This window comes from Homo sapiens, chromosome 11, assembly GCF_000001405.40.
Source record: "Homo sapiens chromosome 11, GRCh38.p14 Primary Assembly".
NCBI lineage: Eukaryota > Metazoa > Chordata > Mammalia > Primates > Hominidae > Homo > Homo sapiens.
Genome location: NC_000011.10, coordinates 123,750,797 through 123,774,688, shown reverse-complemented (window position 1 = coordinate 123,774,688; position 23,892 = coordinate 123,750,797). Strand labels below are relative to the sequence as shown.

General features: G+C 39.1%; 1 protein-coding gene and 1 pseudogene across 1 annotated transcript; one reads left to right on the top strand and one right to left on the bottom strand.

The window, feature by feature from the left end:
* Window positions 10,600-10,762, bottom strand: RNU1-21P (RNA, U1 small nuclear 21, pseudogene; annotated as a pseudogene).
* Window positions 20,171-21,109, top strand: OR6X1 (olfactory receptor family 6 subfamily X member 1). The gene has a single exon (NM_001005188.1). It carries the CDS (start codon window positions 20,171-20,173, stop codon window positions 21,107-21,109), a length of 939 nt encoding a protein of 312 aa, NP_001005188.1.
* Window positions 21,110-23,892: the final 2,783 nt, after the last annotated feature.

Below are 23,892 nucleotides of genomic sequence, written 5' to 3'. Positions count from 1 at the left end.
TCTCATCTTGAATTCGCATGTGTTGTGGGTTGGACCCAGTGGGAATTAACTGAAGCATGGGAGCAGGTCTTTCCTGTGCTGCTCTCGTGATAGTGAATAAGTCTCATGAGATCTGATGGTTATTATAAAGGAGATTTTTCCTGCACAAGCTTTCTTTGCCTGCTGCCATTCATGTAAGACGTGACATGCTCCTCCTTGCCTTCTACCATGATTGTGAGACTTCCCCAGCCATGTGGAACTGTAAGTTCAGTTAAACCTCTTTTTTTTATAAATTGCCCAGTCTTGGTATCTCTTTATCAGTGGCATGAAAATAGACTAATACAAGTCATTACCTTGCTATTGCTAAATTCCTACCACATATAACATTTCATCATCTGACTTCATGTAAGGCATTCCCTGGATATAATTTTGTAATAAATGGTTCCCTTGGCCATGATAGCCTTGGATTCAGCCTCCTACCATTTACACTGAGACTGACCAAGACTACTCTACTTATACCTAACTTATAGTACAAGCAAACTCAAAACAATAGAAAGTGCTGATTCAGTACAAAAAAAAATGAAGAGATTACTGTGTCTAATATTTACATATTATAGAATTAGAGTAGATTTTGTTGGGACTCAGAAAATAATATTCCAGGCTGGGCATGGTAGCTCACGTCTGTAATCCTAGCACCTTGGGAGGCCATGGCAGGAGGATCATTTGGGCTCAGGAGTTCAAGACCAGCCTGAGAAATAGAGTGAGACTTCATCTATTAAAAAGGAAAGAAAGAAAAGAAAAAGAAAATAATACACTGAAATGAAGGCCTCAGAAGCAAAAGTTTTTTCTCTGAACCTCCTGTTGTGCAGTCCCATTCTTTCCCAAGGCCAGCCACAGAAACTAGAATTGCTCTTCCCTAAGGCAGGTCATAGAAACCAGAACCCCTTCTCTCCAAAGCCAGATATAAAACCTAAAAATATTATTCCAATTCTCTTTCCAGCTTTCTGTGTAAAAACTGGCCATAAAAAAATTATCTGGGCCAGGTGCAGTGGCTCACTCCTGTAATCCCAGCACTTTGGGAGGCCAAGGCAGGTGGAACACTTGAGGCCAGGAGTTTGAGACCAGCCTGACCAACATGGTGGAACCCTGTTTCTACTAAAAATAAAAAAATTTGCCAGGCATGGTGGCACATGCCTGTAATCCCAGCTACTTGGGAGTCTGAAGCATAAGAATCGCTTCAACCTGGGAGGCGGAGGTTGCAGTGAGCTGAGATCGCACCACTGCCCTCTAGCCTGGGTGATAGAGTGAGACTGTGTCTCAAAAAAAAAAAAAAAAAATTATCTGACCTTCTTTGCTTCACTATCAGGTCATAAGACACCATTACAGAGAGTGTCCTGCCCATCCAGAAGGAAGAAGTGCTGCTCAGAGGGACCAAGAAGAATGTAGATGGACAGGCCTTGCTGGATTTCCCCACTCAGTCTATTAGCATTAGATCAGACCATTTTTGTCCAGTCATTTCTACAAAGCTGTGAGTACTTCGTTGAACTTAAGCATAAAAATGGGTGATTTGGTCTGGTAAAAATTTTGGTGATTTTGGGCGGCTTATGCCTATAATTTTAGGAATTTGGGAGGCTGAAGCAAGAGGATTGCTTGAGCCCAGGAGATTGAGGCTGCAGTGAGCTGTGATTGTGCCACTGCACTTCAGCATAGGTGACAGAATGAGACCCTGTCTCAATGAATAAATAAATAATAAATTCTGAAAGCTCTCATGTATACGTTAATAAATGAGTATGCCTTTTCTCCCATTAATTTGCCTCTTGACAGTGACTTTCAGTAAAAGGCAAAGAGAAAGTTTGCCCTTGACCCCTACAATTTCTGTCTTACCAAAATATTCACTTAGGACCTTGTTTACCTCACAAAGTGGTGAAATTAACCAGAGTTATGTAAGGTGGCAAGTGAAGAATCAAAAGCACTGTACAAATGTGGGAACATTTTTTCTAACTGATGTGGATTTACGTGACTTTCCCTTTTTACTATATGTGTGATTGCTCATATTTACCTTATTTACATTCTCTGCCAGGCCCAAGGATATAGAGATGGTTTGTGGTTATTTACAGGAGAAAGGCTAAGAGAAACTCCAATTTGGCAATAAACATAGCTGCAATGGAATAAATGCCTATGTCCAGTCAAAATTCATGTTGAAATCTTAACCTCCAAGATGATGGTATTAGGAGGTGGAGTTTTTGGGAGGTGATTAGGCCATCAGGTTTCCATCCTCAAGATTCCAATTAGTGCCCTTATAAGAGACCTCAGAATATAGTTGACAATAATATATTATAGAGTTTCAAACAGCTAGAAGGAGGATATTGAATGTTCCCAACACAAAGAAATGATAGAAATGCTTGAGATGCTGGATATGCTAATTACTCTGATCTGATCACTATACATTATATGTATTGGAACATCACTATGTACACCATGAATATGTACAATTATTATTGGTCAATAAAAAGTATTTTTTAAAAAGAGAGAACTCAGCTAACTAGCCCCTTCCACCACGTAAGGACATAACGAAATGACAGCGATCTATGAACAAGGAAGCCGGCCCTCACCAGACACTGCTTCTGCCAACTCTTTGATCTTGGAATTCCCAGATGGCAGAACTATGAAAAAGGTATTGTGTAGTTTATAAGCTATCCAGTTTATGGTATTCTGTTATAGTAGCCCAAACTGACTAAGACATTACCTTTTGAAAGAATGACAGATGGAACAACAGAAAACTCCAACCGATAAGAACAGGCCATAATAGAGAATCCAAGGCAGGTGACACGCAGGACTACGGCAATCAGCAATCAGCATCCAGTAGATAATCAACCAGTAGGAAAGACTTCAGCTACCAGGGTGGTGTTGGATCAAACTCCAACTCTGGGAAGGGATCTATGAGAAGCTGAGTTATTACATCTATAAATTTTGGTTGGTGAAAGTTTGGCAAGTGAAGAAAAAAACTGGGCCTCAGGATCCAAGCCAGAAAACAATGTTTAGAACTGACTGAGGCTAGTAATTGGACCACTTGATTTCAGGGGCTGTGTATCTTCTGCTGCAGGGCAGTTTCAGTCATGGGAATGAGAAGGAGAAAGGTGTCTGAACAGGATAACCTATCTAGTCAAAGAAGCATGTGATACATTTTGGCTCTGTGTTCCCATTCAAATCTCATCTCGAATTATAATCCCCACATGTAGAGGGAGGGACCTGATGGGAGGCGATTGGATCATGGGGGCAGTTTCCCCCATGCCGTTCTCACGATAATGAGGGAGTTCTCATGAGATCTGATGGTTTAAAAGTGGCAGTTTCCCTTATGCGCTCTCTTCCTCCTGCCGACTTGTGAAGAAGGTGCCTGCTTCCCCTTCGCCTTCTACCATGATTGTAAGTTTCCTGAGGCCTCCCCAGTCATGTGGAACTGTGAGTAAATTAAATCTCTTTTCTTTATAAATTGCCCAGTCTCAGGTATTTCTTTATAAGAGTGTGAGAATGGACTAATACAGCATGCAAAAGCCAGGAATACATTTGGGCCTGACATTTCCTTTGATGTCATAGTACTACTTTGTGCTTTCTTTTGTACTTCCTCCTATTCTATAAATGCTATTTGCTTAACTCCAAACTCTGCTTTCTGGGTTTAAATATGTCATTTACTAGTTGTATGACTTGGTCAAGTTAATTTACTATTCTATATCTCAGTTTTCTCATCTATAAAATTATAACAATAGTAACAGCTTCACAGTGTAGTCATAAAAATTACAAAGACTTAACATTTGTTAAGGCACTTAGAATAGTATCTGGCATACAGTAAGCACTATGCAAATATTTGTGTTGATTGCTTTATTATTATTACTTTGAGAAAATCATACTTCCTTCTGATTTGTGTCAACCACAAATTTTATACCTGAATTTATAATCTCTGCTGAAACATTGCACTGCAGAAAATTAACACATTGGAATAATGCTCTAAATCTGTAAATGTAGTGATAATCTGACCAGACTTTTCAAAAGATACTGGAAAATTTCCCAACTCAGTTCTGATTCTATATATCATTTCTCTTGTCTGTACCTAATAAGTTTTTTCAGAATTCAGAAAATTCACCAGTTAGTATGAAGCACCTGAGTTCTAAAATAAAAGATGGCATTTCACATTTGGAGTGTCAGGAAGCGCCTATTTTTACTTACCGATGGCTGCCCACTCTGAGAAAATCTAACATGAGTTATTTTTCTGGTAGCCTATGGTTTAATCTTTTTGGTTTGTATGTGGATCCAGACATGTGGTGGCTAAAGCATATATATTTGGGGAGATCATCGTTAGAGAAAATAGAAATAAATTCCAGTACATATTAGGTACAAAAATAAATATGTAATTTAAATGAGGGGGGAAATTACAACAAAATGCAATTTAGAAAGCAAAAATAAGCTATAAACATTGCTTAATAAAGATCACCCTCACAAATGCAGGTGAGCATCATCATCTAATTTGCTGAGAGCCTACATAGAACAAAAAGGCAGAGGAAGAGTTAGTTTGTTGCTGCTTGAGCTGGCATACCCATCCACCTTCTTCTGCCCTTGGACATTGATGCTCCTGCTTCTTGGCACCTACACCATCAGCTTCCCTGTTTCTCAAGCCTTCAGGGTGGAAATGAATTACAAAGCCAGCTTTTCTGGTTCTCCAGCTTGTAGACAGCAGATACTGGGACTTCTAGATCTCCATAATCATCATGTAAGCCACTTCATTCATATATATATATATATATATATATATATATATATATATGAACAGAACCAATATATATATATTTGGTTCTGTTTCTCTGAGAACTCTAATACATCTTCCATTACCCACTGTTGAGGAAATACAATTTAAAATAAAATCTCCCAGCCCAGAAAACATTTCCACAATGGTAGTAGAGAAATAAAGCAATTTTATTATTGAATAAGCAATAAACCAAAATGTGATGTGCATCACAAGCAATCTGCTAAAAGAGTGCAGAGACAGGAAAAAAAATTTACTCTTTTATATAGTCAAGCAGACACAACTCATTACTTACAGGTTTTCCAGATAAAGAATAAGAGGACTTGACAGCACCATCTGTCACACATAGTTCATCCTAGACTCACCTGGTAATTGGGGTGATGATCCGTGTTACCTAATTGGCTTTATACAAAGGAAAAATAGACTTATCTTATGACAGGAAGTAGTTCTACAACCTGAAGAAAGGTACCTCTGAAGTTAGGCTTCTACCTTCCCATAGAAACTGGGAAATAAAGAAACTATCTCCCTTGATGTTTACATTTCCAAGAGACGACTCCTAGGTCCTTGAGAAAGACATTTCTGGGTCATAAAGCTGGCAAAAAAATAAAACAAACTTATCTCACTTCTAAAAAGATTTATACACATTTCAAAGAAAGAAAAAAGTTATAATTATGAATTTCCTGAAGTTAATGTTTTAAGAAGAGAGAGAAGGGAGAAGTCTCTATCTTAATTTTTAACAATTAAGCATTTTACTTTTTATTTTTATTTGTCCGTAGACCACATACTCCAGCATTTACAAGGACATGTTGATATTGCTATATAATCGCCAGTCCTGCTTCTGATCATGATGTCCAGATGAGTCAGCCTGATGAGCTATAAAGGTACTCCTAAAATAATTCCTAGGGCTCTTTGATTCCCTAATGACGAAGTTCTTCCAGTGGTTACCATGGTCTTCTTTCAGTCCCAGAACATACAAATACTTCACAGGAGAATAGGAGGAAGATCCCCGGGTCAGGAGAGTGGACAAGCACAGCCTCACACTGGACCTGGAACATCTCTGTCTCCTCTAAAGTTAAGCCCAGGCTGCTAAACCACACCTACTGTATTAGTGCATTCTGGCACTACTACAAAGAACTATCTGAGACTGGGTAATTTATAAAGAAAAGAGGTTTAGTTGGTTCACGGTTCTGCAGGCAGTACAGGGGAGGCCTCAGGAAACTTACAATCATGGCATAAGGAGAAGAGGAAAGAGGCACATCTTACATGACCAGAGCAGGAGGAAGAGAGAGATGGGGGAGGTGCTACACAAACACGCTTTTTTTTTTTTTTTGAGACAGACTCTCGCTCTGTTACCCTGGCTGGAGTGCAGTGGCATGATCTCAGCTCACTGCAACTTCCGCCTCCCGAGTTCAAGTGATTCTCCTCCCTCAGCCTCCCGAGTAGCTGGGACTACAGGTGTGCACTACCACGCCTGGCGAATTTTTGTGTTTTTAGTAGAGATGGGGTTTCACCATATTGGCCAGGCTGCTCTCAAACTCCTGAGCTCAAGTGATCTGCCTGTCTCGGCTTCCCAAAGTGCTGGGATTACAGGCGTGAGCCACCATGCCTGGCCGGTGCTTCACACTTTTAAACAACCATATCTCATGAGAACTCACTCACTATCACAAGAACAGCACCGGGGAAGTCCACCCCCATGATTCAATCACCTCCCACCAGGCCCCTCCTTCAACACTGGGAATTACAATTCAACATGAGATTTGGGTGGGGACACAAATCCAAACCATATCACCTACCTTACCAGATTTCTCACATATGATTTTTCTCTCAGCTTCCAGAGTGCTTTCCTATAAGTCACTTCATTCAGGGACTACCTCAATTTCCAAATATGTTTATAAACGCTCTAATTATGAATGGGCTGTAAGTTCTTTTCTGTTGAAACTCCTGGACCTGAACTACATCAAGATATATGATCTAGCAACTATATTTAAATATTCAAATATTACAAAATAGGTGAAAGTTAGCTCAATATTATGACAAAAGGATTATCTAATCAAAACATATAAATGAGTTCAGTGGGGTGGTATAATTTTACTCTACCCATTAAACAGGATTCTCATTTAAACAAGATACCTAATTGAGTATATTTTGGTCATTACTGGGGCTGGCTAGCCTTATACAAAAGAAAGAATGAGTTAACAAAAACTGAGATCCCCACCTCCAGGAATAAAAAATAAGGAGAAGGAAGAAGAAGACAAAGGTAATAGAGTGAAATGCTATAAAAGAAAGAGAAAAGAGAGCTCCAAAGAGGGGGTAGTCAGCAGTATGGACTATTATAGGTTTAGAGAAATGAACACAAAAATCCCTTTGATTTTGAAAAACAAGAAGAAAATTTAAGTATGCTCTTAGGCATGTAGATTCAGTAAAATTATGAAATGGGAACCAAATCTCAGGGAACTAAAGATGGTCAAAGAAATAATATAAGAAATACATAAATTACATATTACTTAAGAAATTTTGCTTTAAAATAAATCCAAGACAGCTTGGATCAAAGTTTTGTTTCATTTGTCTTTTTTTTTTTGAGACGGAGTCTTGCTCTGTCGCCCAGGCTGGAGTGCAGTGGCGCTATCTTGGCTCACTGCAAGCTCTGCCTCCCGGGTTCACGCCATTCTCCTGGCTCAGCCTCCCGAGTAGCTAGGACTACAGGCGCCCGCCATCATGCCTGGCTAATTTTTTGTATTTTTAGTAGAGATGGGGTTTCACCGTGTTAGCCAGGATGGTCTCGATTTCCTGACTTCGTGATCCGCCCGCCTCAGCCTTCCAAAGTGCTGGGATTACAGGCGTGAGCCACCGTGCCTGGCCTTCATTTAGTTCTTAAGATAGAGAACCATACCTTCTTCAATAGGAGGAGAAAGGGCCAATTTGGTCAGAAGAAGAAAGTTGCCGTTTACAAAAAAAAAAAAAGACAGAATATTTGATTGAGAGTGTTCCAAGAGATGACAACAAAATAATATCAATAACACTAGCAATAAAACTCACACTAATAACTACACACATAACTAGAATATGTAATTCATCTTTAACTTCTGCTATAGGAAACGTCTCTATATCTTCCTCACTTCTCATGTTGTCTTCCTTGGTTTTAAACTATCTCGAGTCTCTCCAATTCTGAATAAATCATCTTTTGGGGCCTACACTTTCAAATTTTTATTCTAATATTTTGGAAGAATTCACTAACCAGGTATAACAAAGTAATTCTAATGGACTAACCCTCACACTATAAACACTTTTAAAAACTAGACAAAACATATGAAACAGCTGTTTTCATACATTGAACAAGAAGAAGCCAAGGACAGTGATCCCTGAGAGAAGAAAAACAAATTAGTTGAGCTCAAAGATAACCCAACCTCTCTACCTGGAAGTGTCTATTAGACACTAGTTTGGAAAGAGGGCAAACCCAAGCAGGGCACAGCATTGTCACTATGTGGAAGAGACAGGTTTGAGAATTCAAGGAAGCTGAAGCATCTGAAATCTGCAGGGCAGACTACCAAAAATGGGGAATCTTTGAGAAAGAGCTTCAGAAAACTTCATAGGGATGTCTTCTAGTTTATCTCTAAAAGTAATAAACTGTACACGCATACATGTGTTGAAATTTCACAAACCCAGGCAAAGAATCAATATAAAGAAAAACTACTGGAGAGGAGAAAGCTGAACAACTACAGAGCTTGATGAGGGTTAGACATTTGAAATCCAGCCAATCACAGTGGAAGGACTTCACTGAACACTCAGTGCCTTAGAAATTTCATACCTTAGCAGTGAGGAGAAATTAACCCTAAAAATAAAGTCTTATTCTAATATGCCTTAACAAAGCTTAAAAACAAGACTTCAAATAATCAAATAAATCTATAAATAAATTGGCAGGCTAGCAGTACAAACTATAACACTCTTTAAACGAAGAAAACAAACATTCAATAATATTTATTTTACATTTTTTTTTTAGAGATAAGGTCTCACTCTGTCACCCAGGCTGGAGTGCAGTGGTGCAATCATAGCTCAATGCAGGTTAGAACTCTTGGACAGAAGTAATCCTCCCATCTCAGCCTCCCAAGTAGCTGGGATGACAGGCATGTACTGCCATGCCTGGTTAATTTTTTCTATTTTTTGGAGAGATGTTGTCTCACTGTGTTGCACAGGATGGTCTCAAACTCCTGGCCTCAAACAATTCTCTAATCTTGGCCTCCCAAAGTGCTGGAATTACAGGTGTGAGCCACCACACCTGACCTTTGACAACATATATAATACCCAGCATACATTTAAAAATTACCAGAACAAAAATAAAAAGGAAATATGACCCAAAATGAAGAGAAAAATTAGTCAATACACTCAGAAATAATAGATATGATAGAATTCTTAGATAAGGAATTTAAACAGCTATGATAAATATTGCCTAAGATTTTTTAAAAATGTGAACATAAGGAAGAAAATGGAAGATATGAAAAAGAAGCAAATAAAACATATAGAGCTGAAGTGAATTCATTGGATGAGTTTAATAGCTGATTAAACACTTTACAGTAAAAGAATGTGAAGACTGGTATAAAAACAATCCAAACTGCAGGTTAAGGAGTGAGGGAAAGCTAAAAACAAAAGAGAACTTCATCAGCCTTTGAGACAAAATCACGAAACCTAATATATGCATAGTAGGGGGACCAGAAAAGAGGGTGAGGAAGAATATTTAAATTAAAAATTTTTTAAGAAATAATGACAAAATATTTCCAAATAGGATGAAAAGTATAAATTTACATGTTCACAAATCTCAATAAACATCAAGCAATATAAACAAAGAAAACTATACCTACACATGTCATAATTAAATTACTGAAAATCAATGATAAAAAATTAAAGTAATTAAGGGTTAACACAACCACACACAACACTATATATATATATATATACACACACACTCACACACATATACATACACACATACATATGTACACACAGACGTATATAATACTGCTGATGCCTCATTAGAAACCACACAAACCAGAAGGCAATGGAACAATATCTTTAAACTGCTGGGGAGTAGATGAGAAAAGGGAGAATAAACTATCAACTTAGAATTCTATATCCTCTAAAAACATTCTTCAAAAATAAATATTACATAAAAAATCAGAAAAATTTTTGTCATCACACCTTCACTGCTAGTAATGTTAAAGGAATTTCTTGAGGCCAAAAAGTAATCAAAATTCAGATCTACATACACACACACAAAAGGCCACTGGACGTGGTAAGTATGACTGTAAATATAAAACTTCCTTTTTAACCACTTTATTGATGTATGATTGACATACAAAAACTATGTATATTAATGTATACATCTTAATATATACAGTCTTGATTCAAAAACTTCACAGAGGCCCCTTCCCCTCCTCCTGCCCAGATTCATGTTTGAACAGCTAGCTTGCCTTCTTGCAGTTGAAAACCACAAGGTGGGCCTGAAGGGAAGAAAAGCCCCCCTTTATCATTGATTTTCAGTAATTTAATTATGATATGTGTAGGTATAGTTTGCTTTGGTTTATATTGTTTGGTGTTCGTTGAGATTTGTGAACATGCAGATGAGTTTGGAGATAAAGATTCACCAACGAAATCATCACCTCAATCCACACAGTAGGCCTATCCATCATCTCAGAAAGTTTCTTCCAACCTTCTCTATTTATTATTATCATTTTGTTTGTTTATTATAAGAACACTTAACATAAGATCTACTCTTTTAGCAAATTATTAAGTATACAATACAGCTTTTTTTTGTTTGTTTGGTTGGTTTTCTTGAGGGGAAAGCATGAACACAGTCCCCTACTACCACAAATTATGCAGTCAAGTCTACCACATTTGGGGAAATCACAGGAGTCAGCACACCCAGAGTGAATGGATCAGCCTCGCCCTGGGAAAACCACCTTCATGATCATGGTATCACCTCTGCCAGGTAAGGATTAATACAAGATTCTTAACTATAGGCATTATACTATAGAGTCAATTTCTAGGACTTTTTATTCATCTTGTGTAACTGAAATTTTGTACATTTTCACTAATACCTCCCTGTTCTCCTCTCCCTTCCAGTCCCTGGAAACACTATTCCACTTTTGGCTTTTATGTGTTTGACTATTTTAGATTAATTACATAAGTGGTATCATGTAGTATGTGTACTTTATATGATCTATTTCACTTAGCATTATGTCCTCCAGGTTCACCTATGCTGTCACAAATGGCAGGATTTCCTTCTTCATTAAAACTGAATAATATTCTATTGTGTGTATTTTCTTTATCCATTCATCCATTGATGGACATTTAGGTTGCTTTCATGTCTTGGCTATTGTGAATAATGCTGAAATAAACATAGGATGCAGATATATTTTTGAGATACTGATTTCAACTCATTTGGAGATATAGCCAGAAGTGGAATTGCTAGATCATGAGGTCATTGTTTTTTTAATTTGTTAAGGAACCTCCATATTGTTTTCTACAGTGGATGCACCAATTTACATTACCACCAATGGTACATAAAGGTTTACTCTTCTCCACATTCTTGCCAACATTTGTTATTTTTTTATGGTAGTCATCCTAAAAGATATGAAGTGATAGCTCATTATAATTTTGGTTTGCATTTTCCTGATGGTTTGTGATATTAAGCACCTTTTCAGATATCTGTTGTTCCTTCATATGTCTTCTTTGAAGAAATGTTTACTCAAGTCCTTTGCCCATTTTTTAATTAGATTATTGTGGGGTTGTTTTTTGTTTTTTTGCTATTGAGTTGGAGGACGTCCTTATATATTTTGGATAGTAATCCTTGACATAGTTTGGATGTTTGTCCTGTCCAAATCTCATGTTTAAATGTGATCCCCAATGTTGGAAGTGGGGCCTGGTGGGAGGTGTTTGGGTCATGGGGAGGATCCCTTATGAATGGCTTGGTGCTATCCTCATGGTAATGGGTGAGTTCTCCCTCTATCAGTTCACATGAGAGCTGATTGTTTAAAAGAGTATGGTACCCCTTCCTCTCTCTTGCTCCCCCTCTTACCATGTGACACACCTGATCCCCTTTTGCTTTATGTCATGAGTCAAAGCTTCCAGAGACCCACCCCAGAAGCAGATGCTGGTACCATGTTTCCTGCACAGTCTTCAGAACTGTGAGCCAAATAAACCTCTTTTCTTTATGAATTACTCAGTTTCAGGTATTCCTTTAGAACAATGTAAAACAGACTAATACAGAAAATTGGTACCAGGAGTGGGGTTTGCTATGAAGATACCTGAAAGTGGGGAAGCTGCTTTGGAAATGGATAACAGGCAGAAGTTGAAAGAGATTGGATGTTTCTGAAGAAGACTGGAAGATGAGGGAAAAATTAGGATTTCTTAGAGACTTGTTAAGAGGTTGTGACCAAAATGCTGATAGAAACATGGACAGTGAAGGCCAGGCTGATGAGGTCTCAGACTGAAATAAAGAATTTATTGGGAATGGGAATGAAAGTCACCCTTGTTATGCCCTAGCAAAAATCTTGGCAGCATTTTGTCCATGTCCTAGGGATTCGTGGAAGGTTGAACATAAGAATGATGACCCAAGGTATCTGGTGGAGAAATCTTTAAGCAGTAACATATTCAAAATATGGTGTAGCTGCTTCTAACAGCCTACAATCAGATGTGGAAGCAAAGGAATGACTTAAAGTTGGAAATTATAATTAAAAGGGAAGCAGAGGAAAAAAATTGGAAAATCTGCAGCCTGGTCATGTGGTAGAAAAAGAAAAAGCATTTTCAAGACAGAAATACACATAGGCTATAGAGCAGCCACTTGCTAGAGAGATTTTATGACTCAAATAGAGCAAAGCACTAACAACCAAGACCATGAGAAAAGGCTTTCAAGGAATTTTGGAAATCTTCAAAGCAGTCCCTCCCATCACAGGCGAGATCACACAGTGCAATCTCGGCTCACTGCAACCTCCGCCTCCCGGGTTCACGCCATTCTCCTGCGTCAGCCTCCCGAATAGCTGGAAATACAGGTGCCTGCCACCACGCCTGGCTAATTTTTTATATTTTTAGTAGAGATGGGGTTTCACTCTGTTATCCAGGATGGTCTTGATCTCCTGACCTCGTGATCCACTTGCCTCAGCCTCCCAAAGTGCTGGGATTACAGGCATGAGCCATCACTCCAGGCCAAGAACTTTTTTTTAGAGAGAGGTCTCGCTCTGTTGCACAGGCTGAAGTGCAGTGGTACAACCATGGCTCACTGCAGCCTCAAACTTCTGGGCTCAAGCAATCCTCCTGCCTCAGCCTCCTGAGTAGCTAGGATGACAGGTGTGCACTACCATGCCCAGCTACTTTTTAATTTTTTGTAGAGACAGTGTCTCACTATGTTGCCCAGGATGGTCTTGAACTCCTGGCCTCAAGCAATCCTCCACCTAAGCCTCCCAAAATGCTAGGATTACAGGTGCATGCCCTGCTTTAGAATAAAGCAATTGTATGACTCAATAATAAAAAACAAAAATTATCTATTTTTAAGTGGGTAAAATATTTAAACTAACTTCACAAAAATGATACAGAAACTGTTAATAAGCATATGAAAATGTGTTCAACATCACTGGTCATCAGGGAAATGCAAATTAAATTAAGAATGAGAAAATCCAACCCCTACTATCATATCTAATTTTTTTAAACTGACAACAGCAAATGTTGGTGAAAATGTGGAACAACTAGAACTCTCATATAGTTGATGGGCCTGTGAAATGGTGCAACCTCATTGGAAAACAGGTTGGCTGTTTCTCAAAAAGTGGAACATACACAGACCTTATGACTCAGGAATTTCACTTTTAGTCATGTACCTAAAGTAAATAAAAATAGACACCCACAAAAATATTCCTACATGAGTATTCACCATGACTTTATGTATAATAGTAAAAACTAAAACAACCCAAACACTCATTGACTAATATATGAATAAATAAGACGTGTATATTCATACAATGGAAACTCAGCACTTTTTTTTTTTTTTTTTTTTTTTTTTGAGACAGGGTCTCACTCTGTTTCCTAGGCTGAAGAGCACTGTAACGATCATGGATCACTGCGGCTTCAACCTCTTGGGCTTAAGCATTCCTCCCAGCTCGGCCTCCCAAGTAGGTGAGACTACAGGCACATGCCACTGTGCGCAGCTAAATTTTTATTTTTTGTAAAGACTTGGTTTCACCATGTTGCCCAGGCTGGTCTTGAACTTCTGGGCTCAAGCAATCCAACCCCCTAGGACTCACAAAGAACTGGGATTACAGGCATGAGCCATGGCACCCTGAAACTCAGCACTTTAAAGGAATTAGCTTTTTATACTTAACAATGTGGATGAATTTCAAAAACATTTTGCTAAGTGAAAGCACCGTGACACAAAAGAATACACATACCATATGATTCCATTTATATAAAAATCACGCAATAGATGACACTAATCTACAGACATAGAAATCAGACAGCGGTTGTTGGGGTGGGAGAGAGAGTCCTGAGATAGAACTGCAAATGAGCACAAAAGAATTTTTTCAAAGTGCTAGGAAAATTCTGCATCTTAATTGAAGTGGTGATTACATGTGTGCATACATCTGTCAAAACTCTTCAAACTGTATACTTAAAAATGAATGTATTTTATTTCTACTTAAATCATCCTCATTAGCGTTGATTTTCAAGTTACAATTCCAACTCTTATGTTCCTGTTTTGCAGAGAGCCTTCTCCAATAATTAGTTACACATGCAATATCCATGAACTCTCTACATGACCCTCAATACTTTAGGCCCCTGTCTTTTCATTTATCCCCATAAGATAGTTCACAAGAAAACTGAATGCAATTTCTTTTTTTTTTTTTTTTTTTTTGAGACGGAGTCTCGCTCTGTCGCCCAGGCTGGACTGCGGACTGCAGTGGCGGAATCTCGGCTCACTGCAAGCTCCGCTTCCCGGGTTCACGCCATTCTCCTGCCTCAGCCTCCCGAGTAGCTGGGACTACAGGCGCCCGCCACCGCGCCCGGCTAATTTTTTGTATTTTTAGTAGAGACGGGGTTTCACCTTGTTAGCCAGGATGGTCTCGATCTCCTGACCTCATGATCCACCCACCTCGGCCTCCCAAAGTGCTGGGATTACAGGCGTGAGTGAATGCAATTTTTATTCTGTTCAATCTCACATTTCTGAATACATGGCCATTTTTATATTATTGACCAAATTGACTACCTTTGATTCAATTCAGTTCATTAAAGGACCCCATTTATTTATTAAGATGTCAATAATTTTCCTTCTTGGAGAACTGAGAAATCCAAGATCTAAAAACTTACAAAATTAAAAGATTCTCAGACTTTGGTTAATTACCTCAGGAGTGCAGGAATGATTGATACCAATTAGAATTTAGAAAACTACAAATTCCTCAGCTTGACTTGTGAATAAACTTTTAGTGAGAACTTCCCTATCTCCTGGGACTCTCTGGAGCAAATCCATGCAGACTGATGTCTCATAGGAACCTGTGAAAATGTCCCACTAACAAATTGTTATTTTCAGAGAAGGTATCCTGACCTAGCAGGAACAGATGAATTAATTACTCTCAATACAATTCTCCTAAATGCTGAAGAAACCTTGCCATGTCATGAAAGCTTTATGAATACAATTCAGTAATGCATAAGGACACTTGCATTAAAGTATAGAAAAAGAGATTCATTTTCTGTGCAGAAAAAAAAGAAAAATTTTCTGTTCCAATTATACTGCCTTTATAACCCAGCTCTCCTTTTCTGTCAGTCTACTGTGGGCAAGGACACACCTTGCGGCTGGAAGTGTTTTCCTGGAAATCAGTAGTGCTGTAAGTATTGCTTTGTCACCAAGAAAGAGTACTATTTTGGAAAAACCTTTGCTTTTCTCTAGAATGAATTGATACAGCTAGACTTGACCCCTTGAAGTCTTAAAGTAAATCCTAATAAATCAATTTTGGTATCATGTAGAAAAGTCATCACAATGACCTGGACTTGGATCTTCCTCAGAAAAGCAGTCTTTATTCACCACATCTTACCTAGAACCATCAGTCCTTGAAAGGAATTTCAAATTGGTTCTTCATTCAAGTTTCAGCTTAGCACAAGTCCCCTGAGTGATGAATCTTGGTTTATTTCTCTTTGTGAAGCTTATTCTATATGTACTTAATGTTTCTGTTTTAGAGTTCTACACCACTGGGCATATTCAAATTTATTCCATAATCAAAGTCTTGAAAATTGAAATTGGTCTTCATCAGCAATTTAAAAACAAACAAATAAATAAACAAACAAGACTTGGAACATTTTGCTGTTATCCAGAGAAGAAAATATGTTAATACTTTTCTTCTTTTTGTCTTCTTCTAAAACTATAAAAAGTTTTAGAAAATGTGGGATTCTTTATCGCACAACAAAACTCAGAAAAAAATGACTCAATACAATTTCAAGCAATTGAGCATTAAATGAGTTAAGAAAATTATCTGTACTCAGGCAGCCTGAAGAAGCTGGGAAAAGAACCAGAACACAGTAAAAACAAAACAAAACACCAGCATATCCCTGATTAGGGAAAGATGGAGCAGAAAGGTTTTCATGCGGCAAAACTCACATCAGAAAAAGTTGGAAGCAGAAGAAAACTTGGAGACAAATTATTTAGCAAAGAGTCCCTGTTATGATATGACTTGAGCACTTGAAATACAGGAAACGGTGACATGTATAAACATGTGCATGTGTCAGTTTCCATAAACTTCTAGGTAACTGGGGACAGAGTGTCAACAAGCTATCCATTTATATAATCATTTAGAAACTATGTTTTGAGAGCTTATTTTGTGTCAAGCTCTATGCTTCGGCCCTGCAGACACTGTTGCTGCCTGCAAGGGGCTTAGAGTCTATAGCAGACACCAAGCAAACAATAAACACAATTCTGCAAAGTGTTCAGGTATAGATATGCACAGGGCATTAGAAAAGTGTGTAGGAGCAGCACCTTAACTGGACTAGAGGTGGCAAGTTAAGGAAGGCTTCCCATGGAGGTGGCTCCTAAACTTAAATCTAGAATTCAGACAAGACTTAGCCAAATAATGGAGAAAGTCGGGAAGGGTATTTCTGGTGAAGAGAACAGCAGGTGCAATGACTGGGAGGCAAGAAAGAAGATGGCATAATTGGGGAACTAGAGCAGGAGTCAGCCAGCTGTTTCTGTAAAGGGCCAGATAGCAAACCTTTTAGACTTTGGGGGTCATATGGTCTCTGTCACAATTACCAAACTTCACCATGATAGCACAAAAGCAGCCACAGGCAATAGGTAAACAGATGAGTGTGGCTATGTTTTAGTGAAACTTTACAAAAACAGGGCCATAGTTTGCTAACCTCTAAACCTGAGTAATTCAGTAAGTGTGGAGCATAGAAGAAGGCAGAAGGAAAAATGGCAAATGGCAGAAAATCATGCTGGAAAGGTAGGTAAGACCAGATCATCGGTGGTCTTAAATGTCATGCTGAGGAGTCTGGGATGTTAACTTCAAGATTCTGAGGAGTGGCGTAGTCAGAATTCGAATGGTCCCCCTTGCTACAGTTTGAACCATCGGTAGGAAAGAGCACAGCAAGTCAGGAGACAGGGAGTCCTGTTAGGAGGCTGTGTTCGAATCCTGATGGGAGATGACAGCATGATTTACCGGAGCCAGGGAGAGACGGAAAGGACACACACTAGAGAGTGAGTAAGAAGTAAAGTTAACAGGATCTGGTGACTTGGACCCTGGTGGATATGGAGGAATCCATTTGACCCTATACATTGTGACTTTTTAAAAGGAAGAAGAAGTCTAGAGTGTAGGATTGAATTGTAATAGGCATATAGACTGCAGTGTTTAATCCAGCATCTTAGCTCTATAACTTTAGGTTCCTTGGGTTGCTTTCCTGTGTTTCTCTGAACATTGCTTTTACCTGCTAACTTGAGACATCCCCACCTCCCTCTGCATCTCACAAAACTTCTCATGTGCTCAAAACCCAGTCCGTGCAGCTGTCAGGACAGCTACTGCCTGATTCCTCATTTCTGCCACTTCTACTTGCTCAGCATTCCTTCTGCTGTGGACCAGCCCCCTCAGCAGGCACTGCCACTTCTGCTGGTATCATTTCTGCTGCCACTGCTGCTGCTACTCCTGGGCCCTCATGCTACCAAACCAAGCCATGTTCCTGACAAAAGCAGAGAGAGTATGTCTGTCCCCTGTATGTGTCCCACATGGTCACCTGGATACCACGGCAGTACTGTCTGTGACCAGAATCTCAAAAGAGGTCATTCACATACCACCTGCAGCCCCTTCCTCCATGAAGCTTAGATCCACATGTACATGTGTTACAGAGAATGGCTGACACCATACTTCACACACACACACACACACACACACACACACACACACTTGCAAACTCCGTGACTCAAGATTCTGTCCTCCAAAAGCTTCATGAATCTCTCGTGTAAACTGTTCTAACTGTTAATTTACCATAAGTGCCAGGACAAGCCTGACTCCCAGCTCCAGCTCAAGTGAAATTCTCTGCTCTGGTTCTATTTCACAAAAACTGAATCCTTGTCTGGAATGCATTCCCCCTCTCTCCTTACTTCACTTTCATTTCCTTTTGAACTCTAGGACTCAGCTTAGGCCTCTCCTTCTTTAGAAAAACTTCCTTAACCCCTGCTAAAGATGGGCGAAGAGCCCCTTCTAAGTGTTTCTAAAACAATCTGTGCACAGCTCTACACTTTCCCTCACTGAGTCATGTTGCAATTATTATACTATATATAGTATCCACCTATCTATCTATCTATCTATCTATCTATCTATCTATCTATCTATCTATCTATCTATCCACCTATCTATCTATCTATCTGATAAGCTCTTTAATTGCCTGGCAGTACTTGAAGCATAGTAAGCTCTCAACAAATGCTTGTGGAATTCATAGGTCTAATTCTCCAAATGGTAGAATGTGTAGCCCTTGGAAATGTTATATTGAGCTATAGAGATTGCCACTCTTCTCTGCATGGGGAATGAAGATAATTCCATATCTATCCTATATAAAGAGATCACGTTCGTGGCCAGTTATATTGGCCATTAGTGCAAATTCAAATACTTCTCTGTCTCTCATCGTTTTGTGGAAAGGCACTAGAGCTTGTGACATTGTAGACAAAGAATCTTTTCCTGGTCTAGAAAAGAGGTGGGAGAAAATGGAAGTGTTTTTCTTCCCTAAGCAAGCCCTCAGAGAATTACAGTTATCTCACATGAGGGAAGAATGAAACAACCTATCAATGACCTGTAAGTTGCCTCTTTCATGCTAAGCTTCTTATGTACTTTGAAAAATGTGAAATTCATTTCACAGTAATTTGTCTCACCCATTTCAAAGGAAACCCACATGGAAGAATAGCCTCAATAAGAAAGGAAGTAGTTTTACTATTTTCTACTGAATTTTGGTAGAACAGAAAGGATGTTCTCAGCCCATGAATTTGCATATACAAATAGAAATACTTTACTTGGTATAAAAAGACATTTAGTCACAAAAAAAATTTTGACAAAAATGTACTTTTCAGAGTTCCCATTTTGTTATCCTTAGCATTTGCTAACCTTTCACTTTTGTAGATTAGTGTCTGCAGATCTTTATCCCATGTACATTTATTAGGTGCTTCCATATAACAGGCTTTGACTCAGCTTGTTCTGAAATTTTGAATTTGAGTTGAATATTTCTCTACTTCCTAAACAGTTTTATTCATTTAGTTTTAAATGTTATTTTTGATACCTTTAGCAAAGGAGTCTGAACTAGAATGTGGAAGTGGATTCTTCAGAAAAACACCTCTTCTGTTATCTAACTTTATCTCACCACTAATATAATAGCAATGATTTGGGGTTATTTTAAGACACACACTCACACCCACACACAATAATGGCTTCCTTAAACGTATCTGTAATGTAATCAGTAACTTCTTTTTCAGACTCTGAGAATAGGGATTAATTTCTTATGAACTCACAGCCACGTTTACGTACATAAGTTGGTATACACACTATGCATTGAAAATAGTTATATGAATAATTGACAAGAAGCAACCACATTTCACATGATTATTCTCATAGTTGTATAAGGGTGAAAAAACACTTTGCATTCATCAAGTGTTTTTAATACATTCAAAGTCCATTAGAAGCTGGTTTTGCTGACAAAAGAACCAGCCAAATCATCAGTAAAGAAGGGGTGGCCAGTGCGTATTTGTATGTGGGTGAGGGAGGACCTGAAATAGAGTCAGGTCCCGAAGGACCTTACATAGTCAGAATCCTCCTTATTTTTTGTCCCAACTATAATCAACTGTGCTCTAAGATTCTAAGGAGCTTTCTTGCTTGTCTTTCTAGGGTATCAAGGGACATGAGAAATGGCACAGTAATCACAGAATTCATCCTGCTAGGCTTTCCTGTTATCCAAGGCCTACAAACACCTCTCTTTATTGCAATCTTTCTCACCTACATATTAACCCTTGCAGGCAATGGGCTTATTATTGCCACTGTGTGGGCTGAGCCCAGGCTACAAATTCCAATGTACTTCTTCCTTTGTAACTTGTCTTTCTTAGAAATCTGGTACACCACCACAGTCATCCCCAAACTGCTAGGAACCTTTGTAGTGGCAAGAACAGTAATCTGCATGTCCTGCTGCCTGCTGCAGGCCTTCTTCCACTTCTTCGTGGGCACCACCGAGTTCTTGATCCTCACTATCATGTCTTTTGACCGCTACCTCACCATCTGCAATCCCCTTCACCACCCCACCATCATGACCAGCAAACTCTGCCTGCAGCTGGCCCTGAGCTCCTGGGTGGTGGGCTTCACCATTGTCTTTTGTCAGACGATGCTGCTCATCCAGTTGCCATTCTGTGGCAATAATGTTATCAGTCATTTCTACTGTGATGTTGGGCCCAGTTTGAAAGCCGCCTGCATAGACACCAGCATTTTGGAACTCCTGGGCGTCATAGCAACCATCCTTGTGATCCCAGGGTCACTTCTCTTTAATATGATTTCTTATATCTACATTCTGTCCGCAATCCTACGAATTCCTTCAGCCACTGGCCACCAAAAGACTTTCTCTACCTGTGCCTCGCACCTGACAGTTGTCTCCCTGCTCTACGGGGCTGTTCTGTTCATGTACCTAAGACCCACAGCACACTCCTCCTTTAAGATTAATAAGGTGGTGTCTGTGCTAAATACTATCCTCACCCCCCTTCTGAATCCCTTTATTTATACTATTAGAAACAAGGAGGTGAAGGGAGCCTTAAGAAAGGCAATGACTTGCCCAAAGACTGGTCATGCAAAGTAAAACATGCAACACATCAAAGTGAGCTTAATGCAGATAAAAACAATGAAAGTTGAGAGAGGATTTTGGAGAAGTTTGGTAAAACAGGCTCCCCCCAAATCCCAGAAGTTCTGATTCAATGCTATAGTAAGATAAAGATGCAAAAGCAAACCATGATGGTTAAGGTCTCCCATGAGAACTTGTTACATGTAAATGAACTAGGAGTTTTTCTTGAGAAGAAACAATGTAATTCTTCAACAAGGAAGTCCCAGTATATCCTCAGATGCATGAAGTAGAACTCTGGACTTGTCAACTGCAAACTGAAAGTAGAAACCACTAAGGTCAGAGACAAATGTCAACAACTTTAAAAATGTATAAGGAATCCTGTCTCCCTCTTTATTTATGACCACCATCTTTTTTTTTATGACCACCCTCTTTGCCTCATCTTCTTGTCAAAAACATAAAACATTCCACATCTCATTTTCTTAGTTCCTATCATCTTTATCATGAGAGAAGCACGCTACAGACTTCTAATAATTCTAATGGTCCTTCCAAAATATTTGAAATGAATCAGCTTTTTGTTTGATAATATCTCAATAAGGGGACTTCCATCTTGAAATAATACAAATTTTTAGATAAACTTAGAGGTGTTCATCCTCAGATAATACCAAAACTTGAGAACATCTTGTAAAAAATTTCCATTTGCAGTTCATGGATTACAGCAGTTTCTGGGCTCCAATATAAGTAGACCATGTACCTAGGAAGCTAGGAAAAGTCTCAGAGCCAATATATCTAGAAACACTTTCCTACTGGAAAATGCAGCCCCAAGGTTACATGAAGTTCAGGGCTCACATGTAGGATTGTCACCAAAACCCCCAGGGTTCAGTCAGGTCCTGGTGTTTGCTGCACAGAACATCAATCACTGAGTCACTGAGCATTGCCAGGGAAGAAGGCTTTAACTGAATGCTGCAGCCAAGAAAAATGGGAGGTAGAGTCTCAAATCCATCTCCCCAACCAACTAAATTTGGGAGGTTTATATATAGTGGAAGGGAGGGAGAATAGGAGTTAGAGAGGGGTAAGGAAGAAGAGCTGGTAAGGTGAGAAAATAGGAATTAGGGAGGGGTAAGGAAGCCATCATGATGAATGAGGGGCCTGGCATCTTGTTGTCCGGATTGGTGATCTAGTGGGTTTCAGTCTCTTGCCTGAGGGTCAGTTTCCTGAGGAAGGAACTCAGTTAAGACAAATGTAAGTTTCAGGTTTTAAGACAGAGTGTCAATTTCTGTGTTCATTTAAAAATCCATAAATATCTTTTGTGTGGAACAATTGGGCTGGTTTCAGGGTTAGTGTGCAAAGTCCCTCAAAGTAGGCTACAAACCTACTGATCTGACCCTTGTCTTCAGGCAAGATATCTTTTTAGGGAATGATGATGCAGGTGATTCAGTTTGTGATAATGAGTATTAGATATGTCTCTTCCCAACAGTAAAGAAAAACTAGCATTAAAAGACCATTAAAACTATGACTAAAAAAAAAAATTACTGCTGTAAACCAAATTCTAAGGGCCTCTCAACCATCTGAATGGACTCCTCCTCTTGGCCAGGGCACTCCAAAGTTAACCTGAAAGACTGGTTTGGGTCATGACGGGAAGAAGGGGTCAGACACACCTCATTATGCCCTCCTCCCTTTTGGAATTCAGGAAAAGCCAACCAGCATTTAACATCAACACAGACCTGAAGTGTGATAAGAAACATTTACAAATGTACAATCTATTCTCTCTGAAGCTTACTACCTGGAAGCTTCATTTGCATGATAAAACTTTGGTCTCCACAACCCCTTATCATAACCCAGACATTCCTTTCTATTGATAGTAACTCTTTCAACCAATTGCCAATCAGAACATTTTTAAATCTACCTATAACCTGGAAGCCCCCCACTCCCCACTTCAAGTTGTCCTGCCTTTCTGGACAGAACCAATGTATACCTTAAATGTATCTGACTGATGTCTCATGTCTCTCTAAAGTGTATAAATCCAAGCTGTGCCCCAACCACCTTAGGCACATGTTCTCAGGATCTCCTGAGGGCTGTGCCACAGGCCATGGTCACTCATATTGGGCTCAGAATAAATCTCTTCCAATATTTTGCAGAGTTTGACTCCTTTCATCAACACTGCACACATTCCTTTTAATATTGAATTGAAAATTCAAAACAAAATGTAATGAGGCAAAAATATTATTATCTCAACTGCTGTACCTGATTTTCTCTTAGAGAGGGAACTGTCTTGGAGCTGTGCAGGAGAAATAGATCATTTGGAGATAAAGGAAGAGAGAGAACCTAAGGACATCAATATTATCATGAGCTCTGTCATCAAAGAATGGTTTAGAGTGCCCTGAATGAGGAAAAAAAGGTAATAGTTAATATTTCTCAAAAAAGAAAATGACAGAGAAAGGAAGAAAAAAGGAACCCCAAAATGGAGCAAAGCAGAGGAGTCTGTGGGAAGAAGTCAGTGGAAATTCCCCAGCGTCAGGGCACCTAGAAAGCAGTTTAAGAATGGGGATGCCTAATGCTCAGTTTGAAGTCACATTTCTACAATGTTAATCTGTCTCCCCCTCAAACCTTCAGTAAAGTCTTCTATATTACCAAATGCATGTATGAACAGAACATGCATGTCACATGCATTCATATATGTGTGCGTTGTGTGTGAGTCAAGGAGGAATAACGTTTCATGTCTGGAATGACATAATTTGGATTAGAAACAGCCCATAGAGAATCTCACAGAGATGGCCACAGAATACGCAGAAATTTTAGGAAGC

Coding starts and splice junctions, on each gene's coding strand:
- OR6X1 (NM_001005188.1), top strand. CDS start 20,171: ATGAGAAATGGCACAGTAATCACAGAATTCATCCTGCTAGGCTTTCCT.